Genomic DNA, 23,609 nt, shown 5'->3' with positions numbered 1-23,609 from the left:
GGTTTCACCATGTTGGCCAGGCTGGTCTTGAACTCCTGACACCAGGTGATTGGACCACCTCAGTCTCCCGAAGTGCTGGGATTACAGGGGTGAGCCACTGCGCCCAGTCACACAAGCTAATCTTAATACCTAAGCCTCAAATGATATTTATTAAGTTTCAGGCACTGTTCTGAGTACTTTACATATGTTAACTCATTTAGTGTTCACAATCTTATGAAATAGATACAATTATTATCCCTGTTTTTCAGCTGAGGAAACAAAAGGCACAGAGAGGTTCATACCTTCTCTATGATCAACAGCTATCAAATGTGTAGCTGAGAGCTGCACACAGCTGTCTGATTCTAAAATTTACTTTTTTGAGGAACACATGTTGAAGAAGAAAAAGTATTACAGTAATATTGTTCAAATAAGCAGAACCTGGCCTTGCTTCATTTTCTGATAATTTTGGTTAATGAAGACTTTACTGTAGCTTAACATACCTAAGTCTCAAGATAAACTTAATTACAGGAAAACAGATAATTACTGGAAATAATGTCAATCAACAAGGAAACTTTTCGTTCATTTGAACTAAAGATTTATTGGTGAGTATAAGCATGTTATTCAAAATAGGAATCAGAGTGAAAATTTTTGGGTAGTTAGTTCAGATGGTAGCCACATGAACTTGGGGGCTTTAAAAAAGAGCAGGTGTAAATAAGCATATGATTAGCCCACAATGTCCTCTCTGTGGGAGGAACAGTCCTTCCCTTGGTTTGTCCACTACCCGCAAGATGCGTGGTTTACTACTGATGTATTTCAAAGTTACACTTCCTTGCCTTACTATAATTAGATTATACGCATAAATTGTATTAAACAATTAGGAAGGGCCACTGCACTCCAGTCTAGGCAAAACAGTGAGACTCCATCTCTAAAAATATTAAAACATAACAAAAGACAATTGGGAAGGAGAAGAACTGGCTCAAATAGTGACACTATTTCAGGTTCCACATCCCACAGTTCTGTCTCTCAGCCTGAGTATTTCCAAGTGAATCTCCAATGTTCCCTTTGGGCTTTAGTTTTGCTGTTTTGCCTCGGAGGCTGCTTTTGCTCAAAAAGTCTGTTGCCACATTCCAGATGAGTCTATACAAGATTAGTCTAGCAGAGTTTTCATAGATACTGGCTGTCTTCTCCACAAAGTCAGGCTGCTTTGCCAAGAAGTCAGACTTTACTCAGCAGGGCAGTGCCAGCTTTAACCTGGACACATTTTGTGCAAGGAGAGCTGCTACGTTTTATGGGCGAAGTCTTGAAGTTCTGTGAAGCAATGACTTTTTTCCATCCACTGAGTAGCATTTCATTCATTTTTACATCCAAGGCAGGAAAATTCACCAGGTTTAAACTACACTGGGTAGAAAGCCATCAGGGTCTGAAGAACTGTTCTAAACTAACACAACTAAAATTGTCATTTAACATTTGATGCTCAGAATGATCGGTACCCCAGAAGGGAAATTCGACTGGCATTAGGACAGGAATATGAATGTTTTTTCCAGAAATCATGATGAAATGTTTTATCACTCATTCTAATAATTATAACATACAACACAGCAACTGGCTAAAAAGTATATAATTTTGAATTATATTCTCTAAAGAGCAGAACATTAAAGATTACTAAAAGATTATTGGTCTTTTTCTAATGCAGTGCTTAGCAGAAAAGTACTCAACAGGCATTAACAGGCTAACATTTGTTCCAATGAAAAAGAAAATAAAACTGGGATCTATGTTGGTTAAAATTACTATAATCACAAGCAAAACTAGAAATACTCAGCTGGAAAGCACTAAAAACAAAAAAGCCCACATCATTCTCCTAATCCAATCAAAGATAAGAACCTTACTCTTGCCTATGTAAGACAAAATCATTAATAAAATAATTGTTAACATAAAATAAAGGATCATTTAATTACAGGTATGCCTCACATTATGTACATTTGCTTAATAAAATTTACATCTTGAACTGTTCAAGTTGCTCATGAATTCCTCTGAACTTTTGTTTAAACAAAGAAATTTCAGACTGCTGGGCATGAACCGTTACAGAGTGACACCTAGAGAAGTGGCATTGTAGGTTAGGTTCCTTGTCTAATTATTCAGACAAAAGCAAGAGTGGGTACAGAGTTCTCATAGTGTCAAAAGTATAGTTTGAAGACTGCCAAGTTTGAGAAAGAAAAATCCAATGATCTGGAAAAGAGGGAGAAGGCTGAGGATTAGGAAGGAGAAGTAGATTTCTAGAGAATGAAAAGTATCAACAGGTTTCAAAAATGCTACAAGAAGAGTATTTCCAGTATCCCGACTCCAACTTGGCTACCACATAAATTATTCTTTCTTCACTAAAAAGTATATTTTAGTATATTAGAATTAAAAAAAATTCTTCCTGTGATACATCTGAATTTAATCTGGAAAGTAGAGGAAAACACTATATCTTTTATAGGAATTTACGTCAATATTGTGGGAAAGCCTCTATTTTGTAAAGTAAGAAATGCCAATAGTAAGTGATACCAAACAACAAAATAAATATCCAGATCTCAACATAGATTTTTTTTTTTAAAACACTACCATTCTGTTTTGTTAAAGGACTGCACTGTTGCAATATTATCCCATTTCTTTCAGCACTTTCAGAGGAAAGCACAATCAATTCTGCAAGCTAAGAGAACTAGGACAATATAAACTGATGGTTCAGGAACTTCCCTGGAGGGCTCCACAGAATGTTCTATTTTTAACTCTCACTTTAACCAAGAAGAGAGCAGGAAGGAAATGCAGTGCTCAGCACAAAAGTATTGAACAGGCATTAACAGGCTGATTTTATTTTATATAGGTGATCTGAACTAGCATTTGTTCTAAAGGAAAGCATTCTTAATAACACAGAAATAATCAGAAAAATTACAAAAAGTATTAAAGAAATGCTTAGAATACCCATGAATCTAAGGTTATTTCACTTAATAGTACCTATTAATTTTTTTTCCAGACTGTGCTTGTACAATAGAAGCACTGTGAAGGTAGTTTTCTTTTTTTTTTTTTTTAAAGATGAGCCATTTTACTAAAGCCAAATTTATTTGTAACTAGGCATCTACAAGACCAAATTGTTAAAACCTCAAGCTTATAATCTTGGGCTTCTGTCTGTGGCACTATTTTAGTAGGTGGGCAAGTTCAACTAAAGCCAGCCCCATGGGTGTATTTGGAAGGAGATGCAATTGCCATCACACTTGATTATCCCTTCTCATCTCTCATCCCCTCTTCTCTCACTCCTGTGCCTGAAATAAACATATACATATACAAAAACCAATTCTAACAAAAACAGTCACACAGAGTTTATTGCTCACAGCTATTTAAAGAACTATTCCATGGAAGAGTCTATACAACTCAAGGAAATCTGTGGGTACTTACCAGATATATTTGGCTCCAGATTTCAGTGGCGGCAGGTTAATGGAGAAGGGAAAAGGGAAATAGGTGGATTTGTAGGTATTATACAATGTCTGAATCTATGCTGAATCACACAATACATACTAAGAAATGCTCACAGAAATCAATGAAAAAACAAGAATAGCCAGAGCCACTACCTAGTAATTTACAAATACAAAATTCCTATTACTTGGATTGAAAGTTGTCAGTAAAGAAATTGACTTTGTGCCTTGAGTCCCTATTTGACATAGCCGACTCTCCTATCAATAAGCCCCCTCACCTGCTTACCCAGTAGTGCTGACTTTTCTTTGCTCGCCTTTTACACCCTAGTTACTCTTAAATTTGTGCCTTCAAATTCTGTCAACAATATGCACACATTGAAGACTGTTTATCCTAACAAGTTTCTTCCATAGTGTCGTTCATCAGGATCCTACCATAGTCTGCTGGTAACAAAGCTTAATCAACTTGGAACCATATGATTCTGGGTTATCTGGAAAGCTAAGACTAAAGATATAATACATTGATAATCTTTGAAGTTATCAAATGGTTGCAAAACTAAAAGTATAGTTTCACAGAATCATTTTGCTTTCCACAGGTATGCAACAACATCATCGTTTGGAAAAAAAAATTAAATTATATCGTTGGTAAGAACCGAGACCAAGTAGCTTCAAATGCATTTAGGTGTATTAGGTCCGTTTGATGTCATGCTTTCATATATAACAATATCCCTAAAAAGTTGTGTAGCAATAGGGAGAGACATATTTGACTTCTGCTAATGAGTTTGGTATGCTTAAAACATTAAGCTTTTTAGATAAGCTCAAAACCAAACTGAATTTGTCATCCAAATCTACTTTGGAAAAGAAATAAGCAATAGCTTTCACAAATTTTTAACAGGTAAATTATATTAGGCCAAAGATGTCACTTAAATTCTAATCCCTATTTCTGAGTATGATGCATGATTTAAAGGTATTACAATTAATGAAAAATATAAACAAATGTTAACACCTTCATACAGCATTAAAAAAAGCAAAAAAGCAGTGGAAACCTGAGTAAAAAGAAGCCAGGAAGCAGCTGAAAAAGAGACCGGTTCACTGTGAGAAATGTAAACCTCTCAGACAGTGCTACGGCCCCGAATCCAACAGCTCAGGAACAAGGCCAATTATTGCAAAATATTAAATGTATATGGTGAAGCTACAAACTTGTCAAGAGTCATAAGAATAATAAAAGCTACACAGAAAACAGCTAGGGCTTTGTAAACCTAAAATCTTCACTATAATTACTACCTGCAGAAAGTTTCTTTATACTATACCACACTCCTTATATGCAGTGTACTTCACAGTATTCAAAGCATACATTTTATGATAAAGGTTTAAAGTAATAAATCTTTATTAGTGAAACTGGTAAGTAATCTGATCTTTTGAAATAGTTGCTTTCATTGACTCCAGTTATTGACAGTTGGTTGCCAAGCTGTTACAAACCAATTCTCTATTATTCTACCTTTTAGAACTAGAAATGACTCACATGAGACACAAAGAATTATGGAGTTTTACAGTACACAGAGGCTTCAACAGACAACACAGTAAAAATTCCATACTTTGCAAATGAGTCCAACTGAAACTCAGTGGCTTTAAGTGATATGCCTAACACCAGTTACAAATGACTAAGGGCCATCAGGATTCTGACTTTTATTTTGTTGTTCTTTCCCATTATACAGTGCATTGTTCAGAAAGTCTTATGTGTGTAGCCAGGGTTTCTTCTGTTTCTGTTGACAGGGGTTTACTCAACCTTGTTTTGAATGAACAGTTCAGTAGTTTCACATTCATAACAAAAGACTAGTACATTCATTTCCCCAGCAGTAATGTTAGTCCTGATTTCAGTTGTGGTCCACTGGGACACATGGATAAAAGACCTAGAGCATTTTATCCTTGAGATATTTCCCCATCCTCCTCCCTATCCACCAAAGGAAAAATAATGAAAGATCCTGTATTTCTACTGCCCATACCCTATCTGGTCTAAAAATACTTTGCTCAGTTGGGCTTGTTAATTTAGGGCAAAATTTCTTTAAGTTCAAATACAAACTTTTAAACATTACTTGTGCCACAGTGAAAAAAAATTGCTCCAAGTCTACTAGTGTTTTCATTATTTGGTTGAATAATTAGTTTCACCCTTTTATGTAATTAAAAAAAAACATGCTTCTTGACACTGTGGGGTAAGCAAGTGTTGTTTGACAAGAAATACAAATATAAGAGATATGAAAAAGTATTTCTCATTTTTAATCAGATTGGGATAGTAGAATGTAGAGAGGTAAGAAAATAAAAACCAAAAGGAAACCCAGAAGTATGTTTCCATATAAAAATGTAAATTATGAGACAGTAATTGCTATATACCTGTAAAAAAACTCAAAAACAATAAACTATCATGTTAATTTCCCAGTACATTTTACTTTTCTACACTAGGGCACATACAAACATAAATGCACACTTTTCTGTTAAGTTTTTTTTTTTTTTTTTTGAGACAGTCTCACTCTGTTGCCCAGGCTGGAGTGCAGTGGCGCCATCTCAGCTCACTGGAACCTCCGCCTCCTAGGTTCAAACGATTCTCCTGCCTCAGCCTCCCGAGTAGCTGGTATTACAGGTGTGCGCCACCATGCCCGGCTAATTTTTTTTGTGTATTTTTAAAGTAGACACAGGGTTTCACAATGTTGGCCAGGCTGGTCTGAAATTCCTGACCTCAGGTGATCCACCCGCCTTGGCCTCCCAGAGTGGTGGGATTACAGGTGTGAGCCACCGTGCCTGGCCTTCTGCAAGTTTTGACATAAAAATTAATGATGAGCTAACTATAAAAAAGTCTTTAGATTATAACTTTTAAAAAAGAGTTCAAATCCCCACTAATTCTATGAAAAGGTTCAATACAATTACCAACACAACAGTTGGCACTGGCCCTGCTGAACTTTTCTTTAAAGGAAAATTTTCTATGATACTTATTAGCATAACAAAATTCCTTTCTCTTTTAGATAAGAATGCTTTGAGGATTTATTCCTTTTATTCTTCAAACTGAATGAGTCAACTAACTTAAGCTGTAAGTTAAGAGGATACTATATAAAACAGCTGAAAGGACAAGTCTAGCTTTTATAAAGTGTTATATTATGACTGACTCATAAGAGTCAAACACAATGTCAAACATTTTTCAAAGACATGATTCTCTTTTTTGTGCCTGTAGCACTATCCAGATGCAACCTGATTTATTGTTTCCTCCTTCTCATCATAACTAGCATCAGAGAAAACCCCATAGTTAAAAATATGACCAATGATAAACACATGCTATCTGTCACATAGATGTTTTCACCTCCAATCAGGCATATTTAGTTGAATTCTATTAAGTGTCATATTTTTTTTTTTTTTTTTTTTTGGCAGAGAGGCATATATACTAGCACACTAGTCCCAACCTGTGATTGAAAGTGATTTTATAGGCAGTTTGACCATGGACAGGGATAAAAATTTTGCCATGTTGAAGAACAAAATTAGTAAGCTAACACAAACACAGAACAAAGGATTTTTGCTTGCCTTATTAATAGAGTGTACTAATGAATTAAGTTAATTAGTCACACGCAAGGATATTTAAATGAGTAGCATGAAGGTACATTTCTTTATTATGGCATCAGCTACAGTCTGTGTTATAATTTTGGAAGAAAAAAATCAAGAAAAAACAATATGAAAATTCTATTACTTGAGGTCCAGAAAAATTCAGAAAATTGTTTCTGAATAAAACACCAGTGTATATAAAGCTAATGAGCAGTACCACAACCAATGTTCCCACGAATAGAGAATAACTTTTGATACCTTTTGAAATTATATCATATACTAGTTTACATTATTTGACGTGGACTGTGTTATTAAATTTTAGGTAGCTTGGAACTAAAATTCTAACTTGGCTAAAATGACCAATGTTTGTATTCAATGTTCTTTGGAAGAACATTTGTCACATGTACAATACAAGGCTAGTAACATACTAAAAAGGGGAGAACCTGTAAACTAACAACGAGACAACTCCTAAGGGTAACAGATTAAGGACCTGGAAGTTATCCTGCATGGCTATGCTAAGCATGAACTATATCTAGCACAGAAAGTTAGTGAATCATGATCACTGAAGACTGCAACAATAAAGAGAAGTATGACTACTATTCATCAGATGGGCCAGTGCAGAGATGCTTCTCCTAAACTGGTGGTAACCCTGACGAGTTTCACACAATATCAAGAGCAGTAAACAGCCTCAGTGGAGGTGGAGGTTATGGGTTCCTCAGTGAGTCACACTCACATAGTCAGGGAGCCTCCAATAGTGATAAGCAGTTAAGAAAGCTCTAAAGAAACCAATGATAAAATTCCACTTCAACTCCTAGAGTTATAAAAGGCTGAATAAATACCTTATTAAACATCTGGGAAGTACACATCTAGGTGAGAAGCATACAGAGAAATGAGTTCATTAAAAAATCAATAAGATAGTTTTATACACTGAGATCAAAATTGTTTTCACTGAATGCTTGAAGAAAATCTGCAAAGTGCTAAAACAAAAACAATGCTGAGTTTTAATAAATTTCATTTAAGTGGCCTTAGATTGTATTTGGTTTAAAAATACTTTTCACTATCAATCAATAAACTGAAAAGCAAAACACAGAAAATATGCTAAGTACATCATTTCTTTTAAAGGCATGCCTACTAAGAGATCAAAATATCATCCCTAGACTAGGGTTCTCAATCCAAGTTAGGTGGTTTTGATCTTTGCTTCTGGTTAGCCATTCATAAGTCACCTTGCCTCGCCTTGCCTCTCTTTTGCTGTTACCATAGGTGATTTATCAGGCTGCAAAGACAGTTTCAATCTCAATGGCAGTAAGAGATGGCAGCCACTTAACAAACTGCTTAAGATATTCCCAGTACAGCTCCCAACCCTTTAGCATGTAGACGTGACACTGTGGTATTTTCCAGAGGATGCTAAGATTTGCTCACTCTTTTAATCTCATTGGTTTGCAAACTCATATGTATGAACATATTCGAGATCCTGAGAGACTGAGTAGGTACTATCTTAAGAGCAACACTGAAATAGAAGATGGAAAAAAGTGTGGCTCAGAAGTTATGACATAAGAAACACAACTCACCTGTCTGCTGCGCAGGTTGTGGCAGTGGTTGGTTTAGATGTGAATTGTAATGAACAGAAGGGACTGGGCGATACTGAGGTTGGCTGGAGTGATAGTGGCCTGGAGCGCAATAACAGGCTGGCATCTAGGATCATAAATATTGCGGGAAAAAATCAATTTTACTTGCATTACATATGTTTTTCTGTGAGGAAGATCAGAGTTTAATGAGTAATAATTCTTTTTAGCACTAATCATTGGAAAACTGATTTTTCTTAAATTTAACTGAAATTTAAAAAAAATTCAAACAAAGTATGCATAAAAATATAACTAATGTGTCATCAATCATATTTAGATTTTAATTTTTTTGCCATATTTGCTTCAGCTCTCTCTCTTACAAAACCAAACACTACTGAATTAGCTAAAGACTCACCCTATTTCCTTTACTCTAACTTCCATAGAAGCCATTATTCTGTAGTTGGTGATTTTACTATACAGTATATATCTATTTACTATATATCTATTATCCATACATGTATTATTTTATTTATTTTTAGGTTTTTTTTTTTTTTGAGGTGGAGTCTCATTCTGTCGCCCAGGTTGGAGTGTAGTGCTGCCATCTTGGCTCACTGCAACCTCTGCCTCCCAGGTTCAAATGATTCTCCTGCCTCAGCCTCCCAAGTAGCTGAGATTACAGGCATGTGCCACCATGCCCAGCTAATTTTTGTATTTTCAGTAGAGATGGGGTTTCACCACGTTGGCCAGGCTGGTCTCAAACTCCTGACCTCAACTGATCCGCCCACTTCAGCCTCCCAAAGTGCTGGGATTACAGGCATGAGCCACTGAGCCTGGGCGAGTATTTTAAAAATCCAAATGTCCAAAATCTGAAATGCTCCAAAATCTTTAACTTTCTGAGTACCAACATGATGCCAAAAGCATCATGTCATGTCAGTACTCAAAAAGAAACTCCACACCTGACCTCATGTGACAGGTTACAGTCAAAACTTTACATCATGCATGAAATTATTTAAAATATGGCTTATATTACCTTAAGGCTATGTGTATAAGATGTATATGAAACAGAAGTGAACTTGGTTTTAGACTTTGGGCCCTATCCCAAGATATCTCATTGTATATATGCAAATATTCCAAAATCCCCCCCAAAAAAAACCAAAAAACTGAAACTTCTGGTCCCAGGCTTTTCAAATACGGGAAACTCAACTACATATAACTTCATGAAATTCATTTTGCAATTCATGTTGTTTTTGAGACATCTTTCTTTATTGAAACATATACAGCTAGCTCATTCAATTTAACTGCTAAACAACATTCATTGTATAAACTACTTTATCCACTCCCACATTAATGCACAGTTATACTGGTTCCATTCTTTAATTTTTCTCATACAGTCATGTATCACAAAGTGACATTTTGGTCAATGATAGATTGCATATATGATGGTGGCCCCCTAAGATTATAAAGGAGTTGAAAAATTCCTATCACCCAGTGATGTCATAGCACAATACATCACTCACATGTCTGTAGTCCTACTGTGCTAGCAGTTGTTTAAAAGTATAGCAGACAGTATATAAATAAGACTTGGTAATGATAATAAATGGCTGTTATTGGTTTATGTATTTACAATATTTTTAACTATTATTTCAGAATGTAGTCCTTCTGGGCTGGGTATGGCAGCTGACGCCTGTACTCCCAGCACTTTGGGAGGCTGAGGCGGGAGGATCGCTTGAGCCCAGGAGTTTGAGATCTGACTGGGCCACATAGTGAGACCCTATCACTACTGAAAATTAAAAAATTAGCTAGGTGTGGAGGTGCACACGCCTGTAGTCCTGTATACTCAGGGGCTGAGATTGGGGATTACTTGAACCCAGGAGGTCACAGCTGCAGTGAGCAGTGATTGCACCACTGCACTCCAGCCTGAGTGACAGAGGCAAGAGCCTGTCTTAAAAAAAAAAAAAGAATGTAGTCCTGCTACTTATTAAAAACTGCAAAACAGATTCAGGGCCAGGGGCAGGGGCTCACACCTGTGATCCTAGCACTCTGGGGAGGCTCAGGTGGGTGGATCACTTGAGCTCAGGAGTTCAAGACCAGCCTGGGCGACATGGTGAAACCCTATCTCTACAAAAAATACAAAAATTAGCCAGGTGTGATGTGCGTGTCTGTAGTCCCAGCTACTTGGGGGGCTGAGGTGGGAGAATTGCTTGAATCTGGGAGGTCGAGGCTTCAGTGAGCCAAGATCGTGCCATTGCATTCCAGCCTGGGTGACAAAGTGAGACTCTGTCTCAAAAAACAAAGAACAACTCCAAACCAAACACACACACACACACACACACACACACACACACACACAGACTCAGGTAGGTCTTTCAGGAGGTATTTCAGAAGAAGGCATTGTTATCATAGGAGATGACAGCTCCACATAGGAGACGACAGCTCCACGTGTGTTACTGCCTCTGAAGACCTTCTAGAGGGACAAGATGTGGAGGTGGAAGACAATGATGCTGATGATCCTGAAATGCGTAGGCCTAGGCTAATATGCATGTTTGCACCTTAGTTTTTAATTAAAAAAAATTAAAAAGAAAGAAAATTTAAAAATTCATAAAAGAAGACTTTAGAATAAGGATATAAAGAAAATATTTTTGTAGAGCTGTATGGTGTATTTGTGTTTTAAGCTGTTTTATTACATAAGAATAAAAAAGTGAAAAGAATTAAAAAGTTTATAAAGTTACTGTAAGCTAAGGTTAATTACTGAAGAAAGAAAAATGTATGAAATAAATTAGGTGTAGCCTAATTTAAGAGTGTTTATGAAGTCTACAGTAGTAAAATGTCCCAGGCCTTCACATTCACTGATTCACCTAGAACAACTTACAGTCCTGCAAGCTGCATACATGGTTAAGTGCACTATATCGGTGTTCCATTTAAAAAAATCTTTTGGCCGGGCACAGTTGCTCACACCTGTTAATTCCAGCACTTCTGAAGGCTGAGGCGGGCAGATCACGAGGTCAGGAGTTTGAGATCAGCCTGGCCAGCAAAGTGAAACCCTGTCTCTACTAAAGATACAAAAAATTAGCCGGGCATGGTGGCACGCGCCTTGTAGTCTCAGGTACTCGGGGGGCTGAGGCAGAAGAATCACTTGAACCAGGGAGGCGGAAGTTGTGGTGAGCTGAGATCATACCACTGAACTCCAGCCTGGCGGCAGAGCGAGACTCCGTCTCAAAAAAGAAAAAAACAAAACAAAAAACCACAAAACTTTTATATCATATTTTTACTGTACCTTTTCTATGTTTACATATATTTAGATGCACAAATACTTACCATTGTGATATAATTGCCTACAGTATTTAGTACAGTAACATGTTGCATAGGTTTGTAGCTTGTAGGCTATACCATATAACCTAGGTGTGTAGAGGGCTACACCATCAAGGTGTGTGTAAATACACTTTGTGACATTCACACAATGACAAAACCCACTAGAGATAAATTTCTCAGAATGTATCTCTATCATTAAATGATGCATGACCATATTTCTAATGCAAATTAAAATGCCATCAAGACCATCTTGATTTATTTTTCCTTCCAGAGCTATTAGTATTAGTAATGAAGTTCTCTTAATCTGACCTAGTTTGGGGTGAAGAATAAATACCTAATCCAGTATTACAGAAGTATGTGGGTAAGTTAACTTTAACAGTGTCATGGGCTCACTCACATTCTGCTCTTCTGATTGGGTTATCTGTAAAAAGAACAGAGATCTGTGGAGATTTTAAAGAGTGCTCATCTCATCTGAAAACCAGCCAGGCATAATATTCCTAGGTTAGTTTTTAGCCAAGAATCACTCAAGTTTACCGTAGATCTCCTGTCTTTGAAGCATTAACATAGACACAATACATATGGGATCCCTTAACTGTTCCTGGAGGTATCAGAAAGTAATCTAAATCCTGAGTTTAGGTATTTTCCTTTAATTAAAAAACGTATCTTTTTTTTTTTTTTTTGAGACAGAGTATTGCTCTGTCTCCCAGGCTGGAGTGAAGTGGCGCAATCTCAGCTTACTGCAACCTCCACCTTCCAGGTTCAAGCAATTATCCTGCCTCAGTCTCCCGAGTAGCTGGGATTACAGGTGCCCGCCACCACACCTGGCTAATTTTTTTTTTTTGGTATTTTTAGTAGAGATGGGATTTCACCATGTTGGCCAGGCTGGTTTCGAACTCCTGACCTCAAGTGATCCGTACATCTCAGCCTCCCAAAGTGCTAGGATTACAAGCTTGAGCCACTGTGCCTAGCCAATATCTCTCTCTCTTTTTTTAATTGAGATGGAATCTTGCTCTGTGGCCCAGAAGTGCAGTGGCACGATCTCAGCTCACTGCAACCTCTGCTGCCCGGGTTCAAGCAATTCTTGTGCCTCAGCCTCCCAAGGCAGCTGGGATTATAGGCACCCACCACCAGGTCCGGCTAATTTTTTTTTTGTATTTTTAGTAGAGATGGGGTTTCGCCACGTTGGCCAGGCTGGTCTTGAACTCCTGACCTCAAGTGATCTGCGTGCCTCGGCCTCCCAAAGTGCTGGGATTACAGGCGTGAGCCACTGTGCCCGGCTGCCAATATCTCTTTTAAGGCAAAAATTATTAACACTATTTTTGGTATATAATATATAGAGATGCAATGTATATGGCAACAACAGCAAAAGGACGGAGAGAATGTAAATGGAATTATACTGTTATAAGGCTGCTACATTTTACTTGAAATTTCAATATTAACTTGAAGTAGATTTTGATAAGGTAAAGGTACGTAACACATTCCCTAGAAAAACACACATATTCAGAAAATTCAAGGGGATGTACCTAAAAAGACAAAATTGGAACAATACAGAGAAGATTAGCATGGCCCCTGCACAAGGATGACACGGAAATTCGTAAAGCATTCAATATTATAAAAAAAAAAAGTTCAAATAATATAAAATGCAGGAAAGTAGAATAAAATACAGATAGGGCAAATAAAAAAATAGCAATGTGGCATACCTGAATCTGGTATGACATGGCATACCATGTCAAAAATATATTAAATTTAAAGGGTCTAATGACACTCCAATCACTGTATAAAGAGGCAGAACCCAACTAATAACCATAAATGAAAGACACTTTAAATATAGGGGTTGCAAGTAAGATAGAAAAAGATCTACCATTTAAATGTTACTCAAAAGAATGACACTATAATGTCAGATAAAATAGGTTTCAAGAAATACTATTAGAGACAGAGAAAAATGTATGTATGAGTCAATATATCAGGAAGACATGATAAATATAAATTGTTTAATATAGCTTCAAATACTATAAAAAACTGATAGAACTTAAAAGGGAGATGGACAAATCCCAAAACAATAGAATATGAAATCAATGATGACCAGAGTAAACGAAAAAACATCCCATGCTCATTTAAGACTGGAAAACTTAGTATTGTTAACATGGCAATAATATCAAAGAGACCTACATATTCCACGCAATACCTATCAACACTCCAAAGGTCTTTTTTTGCAGAAACAGAAAAGCCCATTCTCAAATCATATGGAATTGCAAGGAGCCTAAATACTAAAAACAATTTTGAAAAAGAACAGAGTAGGCCAGGTGCGGTGGCTCACATCTGTAATCCCAGCACTTTGGGAGGCCGAGGCGGGCGGATCACGAGGTCAGGAGATCGAGACTACCGTGAAACCCCGTCTCTACTAAAAATACAAAAAATTAGCCGGGCGTGGTGGCGGGCACCTGTAGTCCCAGCTACTCGGGAGGCTGAGGCAGGAGAATGGCGTGAACCTGGGAGGCGGAGCTTGCAGTGAGCCGAGATCGCGCCACTGCACTCCAGCCTGGGTGACAGAGCAAGACTCCATCTCAAAAACAACAACAACAACAACAACAACAACAAAAACAAAAAAAAGAAAAAGAAAAAGAACAGAGTAGGAGTACTCACTCTTCCCATTTTTAAAAGTTACTACAAAGCCACAGCAATCAAAACAATGTAGTACTGGCAAAAGGACAGAAATACATAATGGGGTAAGGTGAGAGCCCAGGAAAAAACCCTTACATTTATGGTCAAAGGATATTCGACAAGGATTCCAAGGTTATTTAATGGGGAAAGAAAAGTATCTTCAACAAATAATGCTAGAATTACTAGATATATACTTGAAAAAGAATGAAGATGAACTCTTGCCTCACGCCAATATTCAAAAATTAACTCAAAATGGATAAATGACCTAGGAGCTAAAAACATAAAGCACTTAAAAGACAGGACAACCAATTCTTAGATATGACACCAAAAGCACAAGCAATAAAAGAAAAAATGGATAAAGTGAACTTTACCAAAATTAAAAAACTTTTGTCCATCAAAGAACATTATTAAGAAACTAAAAAGACAATTTTACAGAATGAGTGAAAATAATTGCATATCACTTATCTGACAAGGGTCTAGTATCCAGAATACATAAAGAACTCTTAGCTCAATAACAAAAAGACAAACACACACACACACACACACACACACACACACACACACACTTTATATACACACATACTCCAAAAAACTGAAAAGAGATATTAAAAAAATACATGTACCTACATATTCAAAACAGCACTATTTACAGAAACAAAAGATGAAAACATTCCAAATTTTGGCCAGGTGCGGTGGCTCATGCCTGTAATCCCAGCACTTTGGGAGGCCGAGGCGGGAGGATCACTTGCGGTCAGGAGTTTGAGACCAGCCTGGCCAACATGGTGAAACCCCGTCTCTACTAAAAATACAAAAATTAGTTGGGCATGGTGGCTCACGCCTGTAATCCCAGCTACTCGGGGGGCTGAGGCAGGAGAATTGCTTGAACATGGCAGGCGGAGGTTGCAGTGAGCTGAGATTGCACCACTGCATTCCAGCCTGGGCAACAAAGAGACTCTGTCTCAACAACAACAACAACAACAACAACAACAACAACAACAACAAAAGAAAACATTCCAAATTTCAATTAATGGATAAAAAGGGAAAGAATGAATAGTGTGAACAGATTTTTAAGTGTGAATACATTTTAAGTATGAATAGTGTGCCACTGTGTGTGTGTGTTTGTGTGTGTGTGTGCCTATGCTACGATGTGGATCAACTTTGAAAATATTATGTTAAATGAATGAAGTCAGACACAAAAGGTAACATGTTGCCTGATTCCATTAATATGAAGTATTCAGAATAGGTAAAACCATAGGAGACAGAAGCAGATTGGTGGTTGCCAGGGGCTGGGAAATGGAGGAACAAGTAGCAACTGCCTAACAGATATGGGGTTTCCTTTTAGAGTGATGAAAATGTTTTGGAACCAAACAGAAGTGGTGGTTGTACAACACTGTGAATATGTACTAAATGCAACTAAAATGTTCACATAAAAATGGTTAAATGATTAATTTTATATTATGTGAATTTCAATAAAAAAATCAAAATGCCCTGCCCCACAAAAGAACCCTGAACAAAAAACCACATAACGCTAAAATATTAGAACACAAATTCTCGGCTCACTGCAACCTCCGCCTACTGGGTTCAAATAATTCTCCTGCCTCACGCTACCGAGTAGCTAGGATTACATGTGCGCACCACCACACCCAGCTAATTTTTGTATTTTTATTAGAGATGGGGTTTCACCATTTGGGATTACAGGCATAAGCCACTGTGTCCGGCCCAAAACACTGAAATCTTAAAAGAGTAAGCTCTCTGACCACATGTAATTAAAACAGAAATCAATAACAAAAGGTATTTAGAAAGCCCCTACGTATTTGGAAATTAAATAACATACTTCTAAGTAAGTCATGGGTCATAAAAAATCCTCTCAAAAGAGAAAACATTTTAAACTAAATAATAACTAACATACTACATATCCAAATTTGTGGATAGCACCAAAATGGTGCTTAGAAATTTGCAGCATTAAAAAAAAAGAAAAAAAGAAATTTATAGCATTAAAAACTTCTATTAGAAGAAAAATCTAAAATCACTGAAAATAAAATCATAAAAATTAATGAAACCTTTGTTCTTTTTTGAGATGGAGTCTTGCTCTGTTGCCCAGACTGGAGTGCAGTGGCTCAATCTCAGCTCACTGCAAGCTGCATGTGCCAGGTTCAAGTGATTCTCCTGCCTCAGCCTCTCCAGTAGTTGGGATTACAGGCGTGCACCACCACGCCCAGCTAATTTTTGTATTTTCAGTAGAGAAGGGGTTTCATCATGTTGGCCAGGCTGGTCACGAACTCCTGACCTCAAGTGATTCGCCTGCCTCAGCCTCCCAAAGGGCTGGGAATGCAAGTGTAAGCCACCATGTTTGGCCCGTGTTTTTTTTTTTTTTTAAGAACATCAAAAGACTTGATAAATCAACTGGCTAAATTAATAAAAAACAAAAAAGAGAGAGCAAAATTACCAATACCAAGAAATAAAAAGGGGATACCACTAAGATCCTAAAAACATTAAAAGCATAAGGGGATATTAAGAACAATTTTATGACAACAAATTTGAAACATGAAACGGAAACAAAGTATGAAATTTAGTCCAAAGAGAAAAAGAGAACTGGAATCATTTTATATCTACTAAGAAATTAAATTTGTAATTTAAAAACCTTCCCTGCAAAAAATCTACAGCTTTAGATGAATTCATTGGTGAATTCTGGCAAACATGCGAGAAGAAATAACATCAATCCTACATAAACACCATCAGAAAATAAAGGAGGAGGGAACAATGCCCAACTCATTTTAAGGCTACTACCATCCGGATAGTACAACCAAAAATATTACAAGCAAACTGCAGACCAATATCCTTCATGAACATAGATGCAAAAATCTTTAACAAATATTAGCAAACTGAATCCCACAATATATAAGAAGGATACTACATCATAACCAAGTGGGGTCTGTTTCAGAAATTAAAAGTTAGTTAAATATTCAAAAGTTTCGCTACATTGCCCAGGCTGGTCTCCAACTCCTAGGCTCAAGCCCAGCCTTGTGAGTCAGCCTCAGCCTCACAAAGTGCTGGGATTACAGGCGTGAGCCACTGTGCCCAGTCTTACCATTTTACTTTTACAGTGGATTTACACTTTATTGTGTTTCCCTTAGGTTAGTTTTTTAGAAACCCATACCTCTCAGAAAAAAAACCCCTCAAAGCTCACATACTTTACCAACCAACTGGAGCATTTACCTGTCATATGGTTGCTTAGCATGTGCGTGAAAATCTCCAGAGGCGGAAAGATGAGTATATGCTTTGTTTATATACTCTCACAAATTCTCTTCATGAGAATTTAAAAATAAGTTCTTTGAAGTTAAAACTGATCTTAAGTGAGAGGTTTCCACAAGAAAGAAAAGGTTAAAAAGCAATATACCTGTGGTGATGGCTGCTGAATATATCCCTGCTGCTGGAGCACAGGCTGGCTGACAGGATGACCAGAGGCAGGATATCCAGCAGTAGGGACTGGCTGCCCAGGTGGTAGGGGAGGAGGAGGAGGTGGTGGTGGTGGCGGTGGAGGAGGATGTGGTGGAGGGGCTGCTGTCATGATATAACCAGACTGCTGTGGAGACTGAAGAACCACAGTGGACTGGAACATGGCGGCATGAGGGTCAGAACCATCAGCAGATGGCTGGCGAGCAAGACTCATGTGGCTAAACTGAGACCCTAGGTTATCCTGCTAAAAAAGGAAGAAGTCAAAAATTAGTAAGCCTTCTACACATAGGCCAAACTTATCAAAGAAAAATACTTCCTATTTTTAAATAAGATGCAATAGTACACATTATGGAAATTATATATATCAACAACAGCAATTATGTAATAGGGTAAAGCTTCAAAAAAATGACAACTCTATTGTTGAATATTATAAATTATAAATTATTTAAAAAATATATCTAGTGGGAATGCACAGCATGCAGAAAAGAGTAGGGTACAACATTTCACATTAAAAAATGAAGACATTTATTTAAATGAAGATGAAAGCAACATTAGAATGTAGAAGTGAAATTGGCCAAGTTCATATTATACAATTAATATTTTCTGAAAGGACTTCAAAGACCAAGCAATGAGCAAGGTACTAATTAGTATTTGCTTTAAACTATCTCCCCTCTTCCTAGAAGGCAAAATGCAAATTCTATGCATTTTTGTATCCCTAACCACGAAAATTATTTGCAGAAATTAAATACATAAAATCCACTACAGTCCTTTCTCTAATCTTTCAAAAATAATTTGGCCATACATTCCATTCTTCCCTTGTGTTTTTCAATCTGTTCTGGAAGTCAGATAATTTGACAAATGTAATTCAAATGACAGTTTCCTATGCTTTTACTAAATGGTGCCCTACCAAGACAAGGGTTATGATTTATGTGCTATCTGACAAACATTTCTCTAATTCAACAGGATAAGGACCAGCTCTTATTGTTCCAGAAAAATATCACTGAAATGATTATATAGGGTTAAAATGCTCCCTGTTCCCAAGAAACCACAGACTGGCAATAAAATATACCACATTTTGTTAAAAGGTCAACACTGAAAAAAATGACTTACAAAATTGTGGCAATTGAGTCATCATATCAAAGTTGACATGTCTGCAGTTTCTAGATCTGCTGGATTTTCCAAAGTAAATTACGGCTATGGAGAAGATAAAGGACTGAAAGGAGATGCCTGATTTAATGATTGAAAATATATGGTTTTTCTCTTCCCCAACTGTCACTTTGACACTTTAACACTATTAGCCTAATTCAGTGAATGGTGTCAAAAGGAAAAAAAATGTACCTATGAACTGTAATTTCAATGTTATATGATCAAATATTGTTAACAGAAGTACCATAATTGTATACCACTCTCAGAGTCACCTTGGAAAAAAGTCATTTTCTTATTCCAATAAAAATTGGGGCATACTTTGGATAGAAGAAAGTATCATTACTTTACAGTCACAGATTAAATATCCAGAAATCTTCTTAGAAAATATACTTAGAAGTCCTCTGTAGCTGTAAGCTACAACTCACCCTAAGAACTGGTACTGGGTCTACTGGAGCTACAGTGTTGGGGAGAAAATAGAATGCCTAAACCCAGATGAAAGCTGCCATCCCAGGGCAGCACAGATCCTGCAGTGGCCTCAATGAGAAAGTTGCTAAAACATCTTAGGACTAGAATAATCAACCTGAAAATTCTTTCGTTATGAAAAAGCAGGAAAAGGTTAAACAATCACCATAATAAGCCACTATAACCAATATTTTATGGAATAAATTATTTCTAGTATGAATTAGAAATACTTTGTTTAGATACATATGTAAACCTGACCCAAAAAAAATCACAAAAGATCATATTACATTAATGACACTCTTGAGCATTCATCACACATCCACCCACAGAAACAACGCAGGAGGTGAATAGAGATATAGTACCACAGAGTATTGCTGGGTGGGTGAGACTGGCAGGAACGGGGATGGGTAAGGGGCTGTAGAGTACTGAACAGGCTGTGAAGAGGACTGCAGAGGATGAACAGGCTAAAGAATAACAGGTTGGCAAACAATGTTAATGTCAGAATAAAACGTTAGAAGAATTGCATAAAACGGAAATTTACACTTTTTTGGCAATAGCTTTAACTACATTTATAAAGTCATTTAAAATATAACAACATAGGAAACAACAAAAACAATACAAAGTGAAGCAACTCTAATACAGTAAAACTTTCAAAAACATGTACGCCTGAATTTATTACATAATTAGGAGAATAATTTTTTGCAATAAAATATTTCTTTATTATAGATTAACGGGAACAGGTGACTTAGGCATTTTGAATCCTATTATTTAACAAAGACCCCCGGGTTAAGTCAGTAAAAGCAAAACTACTTCTCATTATTTCCTGGTTTTATGAAAGGGTTGCCCTATTTTGCAGTATAACACTAAATTATAAATGAAAAACTTCATTCTTACTATCAGACAGTAATAACTTACACAATAACTATTCCAATTACCCTACTGATAAGGTGAAATTAAGCAGTCTTTTGGGACCAAAGCCCCTAACTTTTAGCAATTTTATAAGAAAAAAGCTCTGGGTAAAAAAATATATCCCAGCACTTTGGGAGGCCGAGGCGGGCGGATCACGAGGTCAGGAGATTGAGACCATCCTGGCTAACATGGTGAAACCCCGTCTCTACTAAAAAATACAAAAAATTAGCCGGGCATGGTGGCGGGCGCCTGTAGCCCAGCTACTCGGGAGGCTGAGACAGGAGAATGGCGTGAATCCAAGAGGCGGAGCTTGCAGTGAGCCGAGGTCGCGCCACTGCACTCCAGCCTGGGCGCCAGAGGGAGACTCCGTCTAAAAAAAAAAAAAAAAACCCAAATATATATATATGGTGGGAACTATTAAGAATAATAGCCTAAGGAACAACAAACACATATATACATACAGACACATGCACACACACACAAACACCTCTTTTATATAAGGAAGATAAACACTTTCTTTGTAATTAACACATTTCTATTAAGATAGTACATGTTAGGAGCTGAGAAACTAGTTACTTAAAATCTCTGGCCATTAATGAAATACTCCTGAGTTTCAGGAAAAAAAAGGGTTTTATGTTTCCCAGGGGCACTCAAACACAGGTGTTTTTTTTTTTTTTTTTAAAGTTGTAATCACTTTTCAATCTTGGGAATACAGCTGGTCATCCACAAACTAAAATTGCATCTGTTTAATTTTCTCATATTTATACTGTTTATTACAAAAACGGTAATATACATATTGGCTTAAAGACTATAGCAACCCACTTTACAGAAGGCAGTTAGACTAAGGTAAATTAAGTGACTTGTAGACAGCCACATAAGCAAGTAGATGAGGAACCCAGGGAATCTCACTTGATGAAAACTCTTAGTTAAAATGTATATTCATGCATCTCCTTCTGAACAATATCTCTGCATGTTGTCTTCAGAGACAATACTTTAAAAATGTTAGATAAACTAATGGAATTAAGATTGTTCAGGCAATAATTTAAATAGAGAACTTCTATGTCAACTAAGATAGACATTGTTTGTCTATGACATCATAGATAGATAATAATGATTTGAGTTGCACTTTTACCACAAAATCAACACAACGGTTTCTAAAAAACAAAAGCTTAGATAAGCTTAAAAGAAAGCAAAAAAATCTATAATTAAAGCATTAAAAAAATCTTTCAGTAAAAGCTGAAAGATCTATGAAGTAGCCTCTGGTTCCTCACAAAACTCATGGCTAGAAATAAGTGAGCTTCCTAACAGATGATAGTACATATTATACTACATGAGGTGCCATAGCTTTAGAACTCTCAAGAACAAGCTACTTGATGTGTTATTAAGTCAGATAACCATTAAGACATAACTTTCAGATGACTTGATCTCCTATGTGTCAGATGAAACAAAAGTTTTAGTCAGCTGGGGGATTAAGGAAAGTACTATGAGCACCAAGGGTATGAATTAATGTCTTCCCGAATTTCAGAGAGTAATGAAAAAAACTGTGGGCTAGAAGATTGATTGATGAAAGTGAAATTCTGACACCATTTAGGGAAGAAAGAGCCTTAGCACATCCTTTTCCTACTTGAATTGCAACTGGCTGCAAAACAACATCCACCTAAAGTAATTGGTTTTACGTTAGGTCTAAGAAAAGTAGCCCTTCTGAAGGCTTTGGAAATCATAGCATTATTTTGTTTGGTTATTTGCAATCTCATTGATAAATTATTTCAGATTGTGCAAAAGGTATTCATTGAGAATCACTTTTGAGTCTCTGTTTCTGGATCTGATGATGCATTACCTGAACTTGGAGCAATGCTAGAAAAATAAGTTATGAAATTTGATGAATATCCCAAGAATTCCAATTATAGCTCATTAAAGCATCTGTTTCTAAACTAGGTGGCCTACATCTTCATTTAGAACTGTCTCTTATCACTAAATCAGACAAAGTTCTAAGAGATAATAATCTGAAATATATAATCACAGATAAATCCCAGAGTTTTTAAAAGTTGCCAGATTAACATTATTTCCACTGAAATTTAAATAAAAATGAAACCAAATGAAAATTAGTGTTTTAAAGCTCCTGGTAAAATACATGGCACTGCAAAGACAACTACATGACAGCATAATAAAGAGGAAACTCTTTGGGACCAAGCTGACTGAAGCCAAGGCAGAGAAAGCCAGGGAAGAAGTTTTATGCGAGCTCATTGTATGTAACCAAATGGGATTGGGAAGGGAATATGGGAGTCTGTGGAAATAGTTTTAGGCAATCTCTTCTACATACATTAACTGATTTCTATGGTCTTAGAAGTATATCCATAACTTGTAAGTTCTTCTTTTTAAAAAACTGCCTTGCCCAGTATTAGGAGTCTTAATTGCCAGAAGTACAATTATTTTTTATGACTTTCACACCATTAAATAATGTAATTAAACTTGTATGTTCTTCAACCCTGCAATACAAATGATATCATTTGTGAGCAAAATTAATGAAATTTCTCCAGTTCAAGTTTATCATCATACTTCTTCTTTTTTTTTTTTTAAGGGATACTCACTTATTTATTTAATTTTTTTTTTTTTTGAGATGGAGTCTCACTCTGTTACCCAGGCTGGAGTGGAGTGGCCTGATCTCGGCTCACTGCAACCTCCCGGGTTCAAGTGATTCTCCTGCCTCAGCCTCCTGAGTAGCTGAGACTATAGGTGCATACCACCACACCCGACTAATTTTTGTATTTTTAGTAGAGACGGGGGTTTCACCATTTGGGCCAGGCTGGGCTCGAACTCCTGACCTCAGGTGATCTGCCTGCCTCGGCCTCCTAAAGTGCTGGGATTACAGGTGTGAGCCAACGCGCCAGGCCCATCATACTTCTTTCATACAAAATCACTCTGCATGTTTTCACCAATGGAATACTGAGTCTTGCAGGGAAAAAGAGGTATAACTAACTACAGGAACTTTGATAATGTTAAACAATCTTTACAAGTTAGAATAGGCCGGGCGCGGTGGCTCATGCCTGTAATCCCAGCACTTTGGGAGGCCGAGGCGGGTGGATCACGAGGTCAGGAGATC

The 23,609-nt window shown here is 37.0% G+C and overlaps 1 protein-coding gene, 1 long non-coding RNA gene, 1 other non-coding gene and 1 pseudogene across 9 annotated transcripts in view, besides 3 other annotated features; 1 reads left to right on the top strand and 3 right to left on the bottom strand.

Annotated features, from left to right (window-relative positions):
- R3HDM1 (R3H domain containing 1) overlaps positions 1-23,609 on the bottom strand; it is a 193,786-nt gene that overhangs the window by 55,304 nt on the left and 114,873 nt on the right. For 4 of the 7 annotated variants that reach the window (NM_001354200.2, NM_001282799.2, NM_001282798.2 and 1 more), the window contains 2 exons: positions 17,934-18,236; positions 8,573-8,696 (listed from right to left, as the gene is read on the bottom strand). In NM_001354200.2, the coding sequence (NP_001341129.1) occupies positions 8,573-8,696; positions 17,934-18,236 (427 nt within the window). Of the gene's footprint in view, positions 1-8,572; positions 8,697-17,933; positions 18,237-19,962; positions 20,065-23,609 lie in introns of all 7 variants that reach the window. The other 3 variants (NM_015361.4, NM_001354199.2, NM_001378107.1) reach the window with 2 other exon arrangements.
- Positions 558-8,567, bottom strand: LOC124907893 (uncharacterized). Its single transcript, XR_007087245.1, has 2 exons — positions 3,409-8,567; positions 558-2,205 (listed from the first exon to the last, which is right to left on the bottom strand). It is a non-coding gene; the product is annotated as an uncharacterized LOC124907893 (long non-coding RNA).
- MIR128-1 (microRNA 128-1) lies at positions 4,488-4,569 on the bottom strand. The gene has a single exon (NR_029672.1). It is a non-coding gene; the product is annotated as a microRNA 128-1 (primary transcript).
- Positions 5,152-5,251: an enhancer, noted in NCBI's record as "active region_16575". NCBI's record gives its function as "activates an Ori minimal core promoter by ATAC-STARR-seq in GM12878 lymphoblastoid cells {active_cell/tissue: GM12878}" and the evidence as "EXISTENCE:reporter gene assay evidence [ECO:0000049][PMID:35858748]".
- Positions 11,548-11,607: an enhancer, noted in NCBI's record as "active region_16574". NCBI's record gives its function as "activates an Ori minimal core promoter by ATAC-STARR-seq in GM12878 lymphoblastoid cells {active_cell/tissue: GM12878}" and the evidence as "EXISTENCE:reporter gene assay evidence [ECO:0000049][PMID:35858748]".
- Positions 11,708-11,777: an enhancer, noted in NCBI's record as "active region_16573". NCBI's record gives its function as "activates an Ori minimal core promoter by ATAC-STARR-seq in GM12878 lymphoblastoid cells {active_cell/tissue: GM12878}" and the evidence as "EXISTENCE:reporter gene assay evidence [ECO:0000049][PMID:35858748]".
- RNU6-512P (RNA, U6 small nuclear 512, pseudogene) lies at positions 13,409-13,486 on the top strand (annotated as a pseudogene).

Source organism: Homo sapiens, chromosome 2, assembly GCF_000001405.40.
Source record: "Homo sapiens chromosome 2, GRCh38.p14 Primary Assembly".
Lineage (NCBI taxonomy): Eukaryota > Metazoa > Chordata > Mammalia > Primates > Hominidae > Homo > Homo sapiens.
This window is presented reverse-complemented; position numbering and strand designations above follow the sequence as displayed.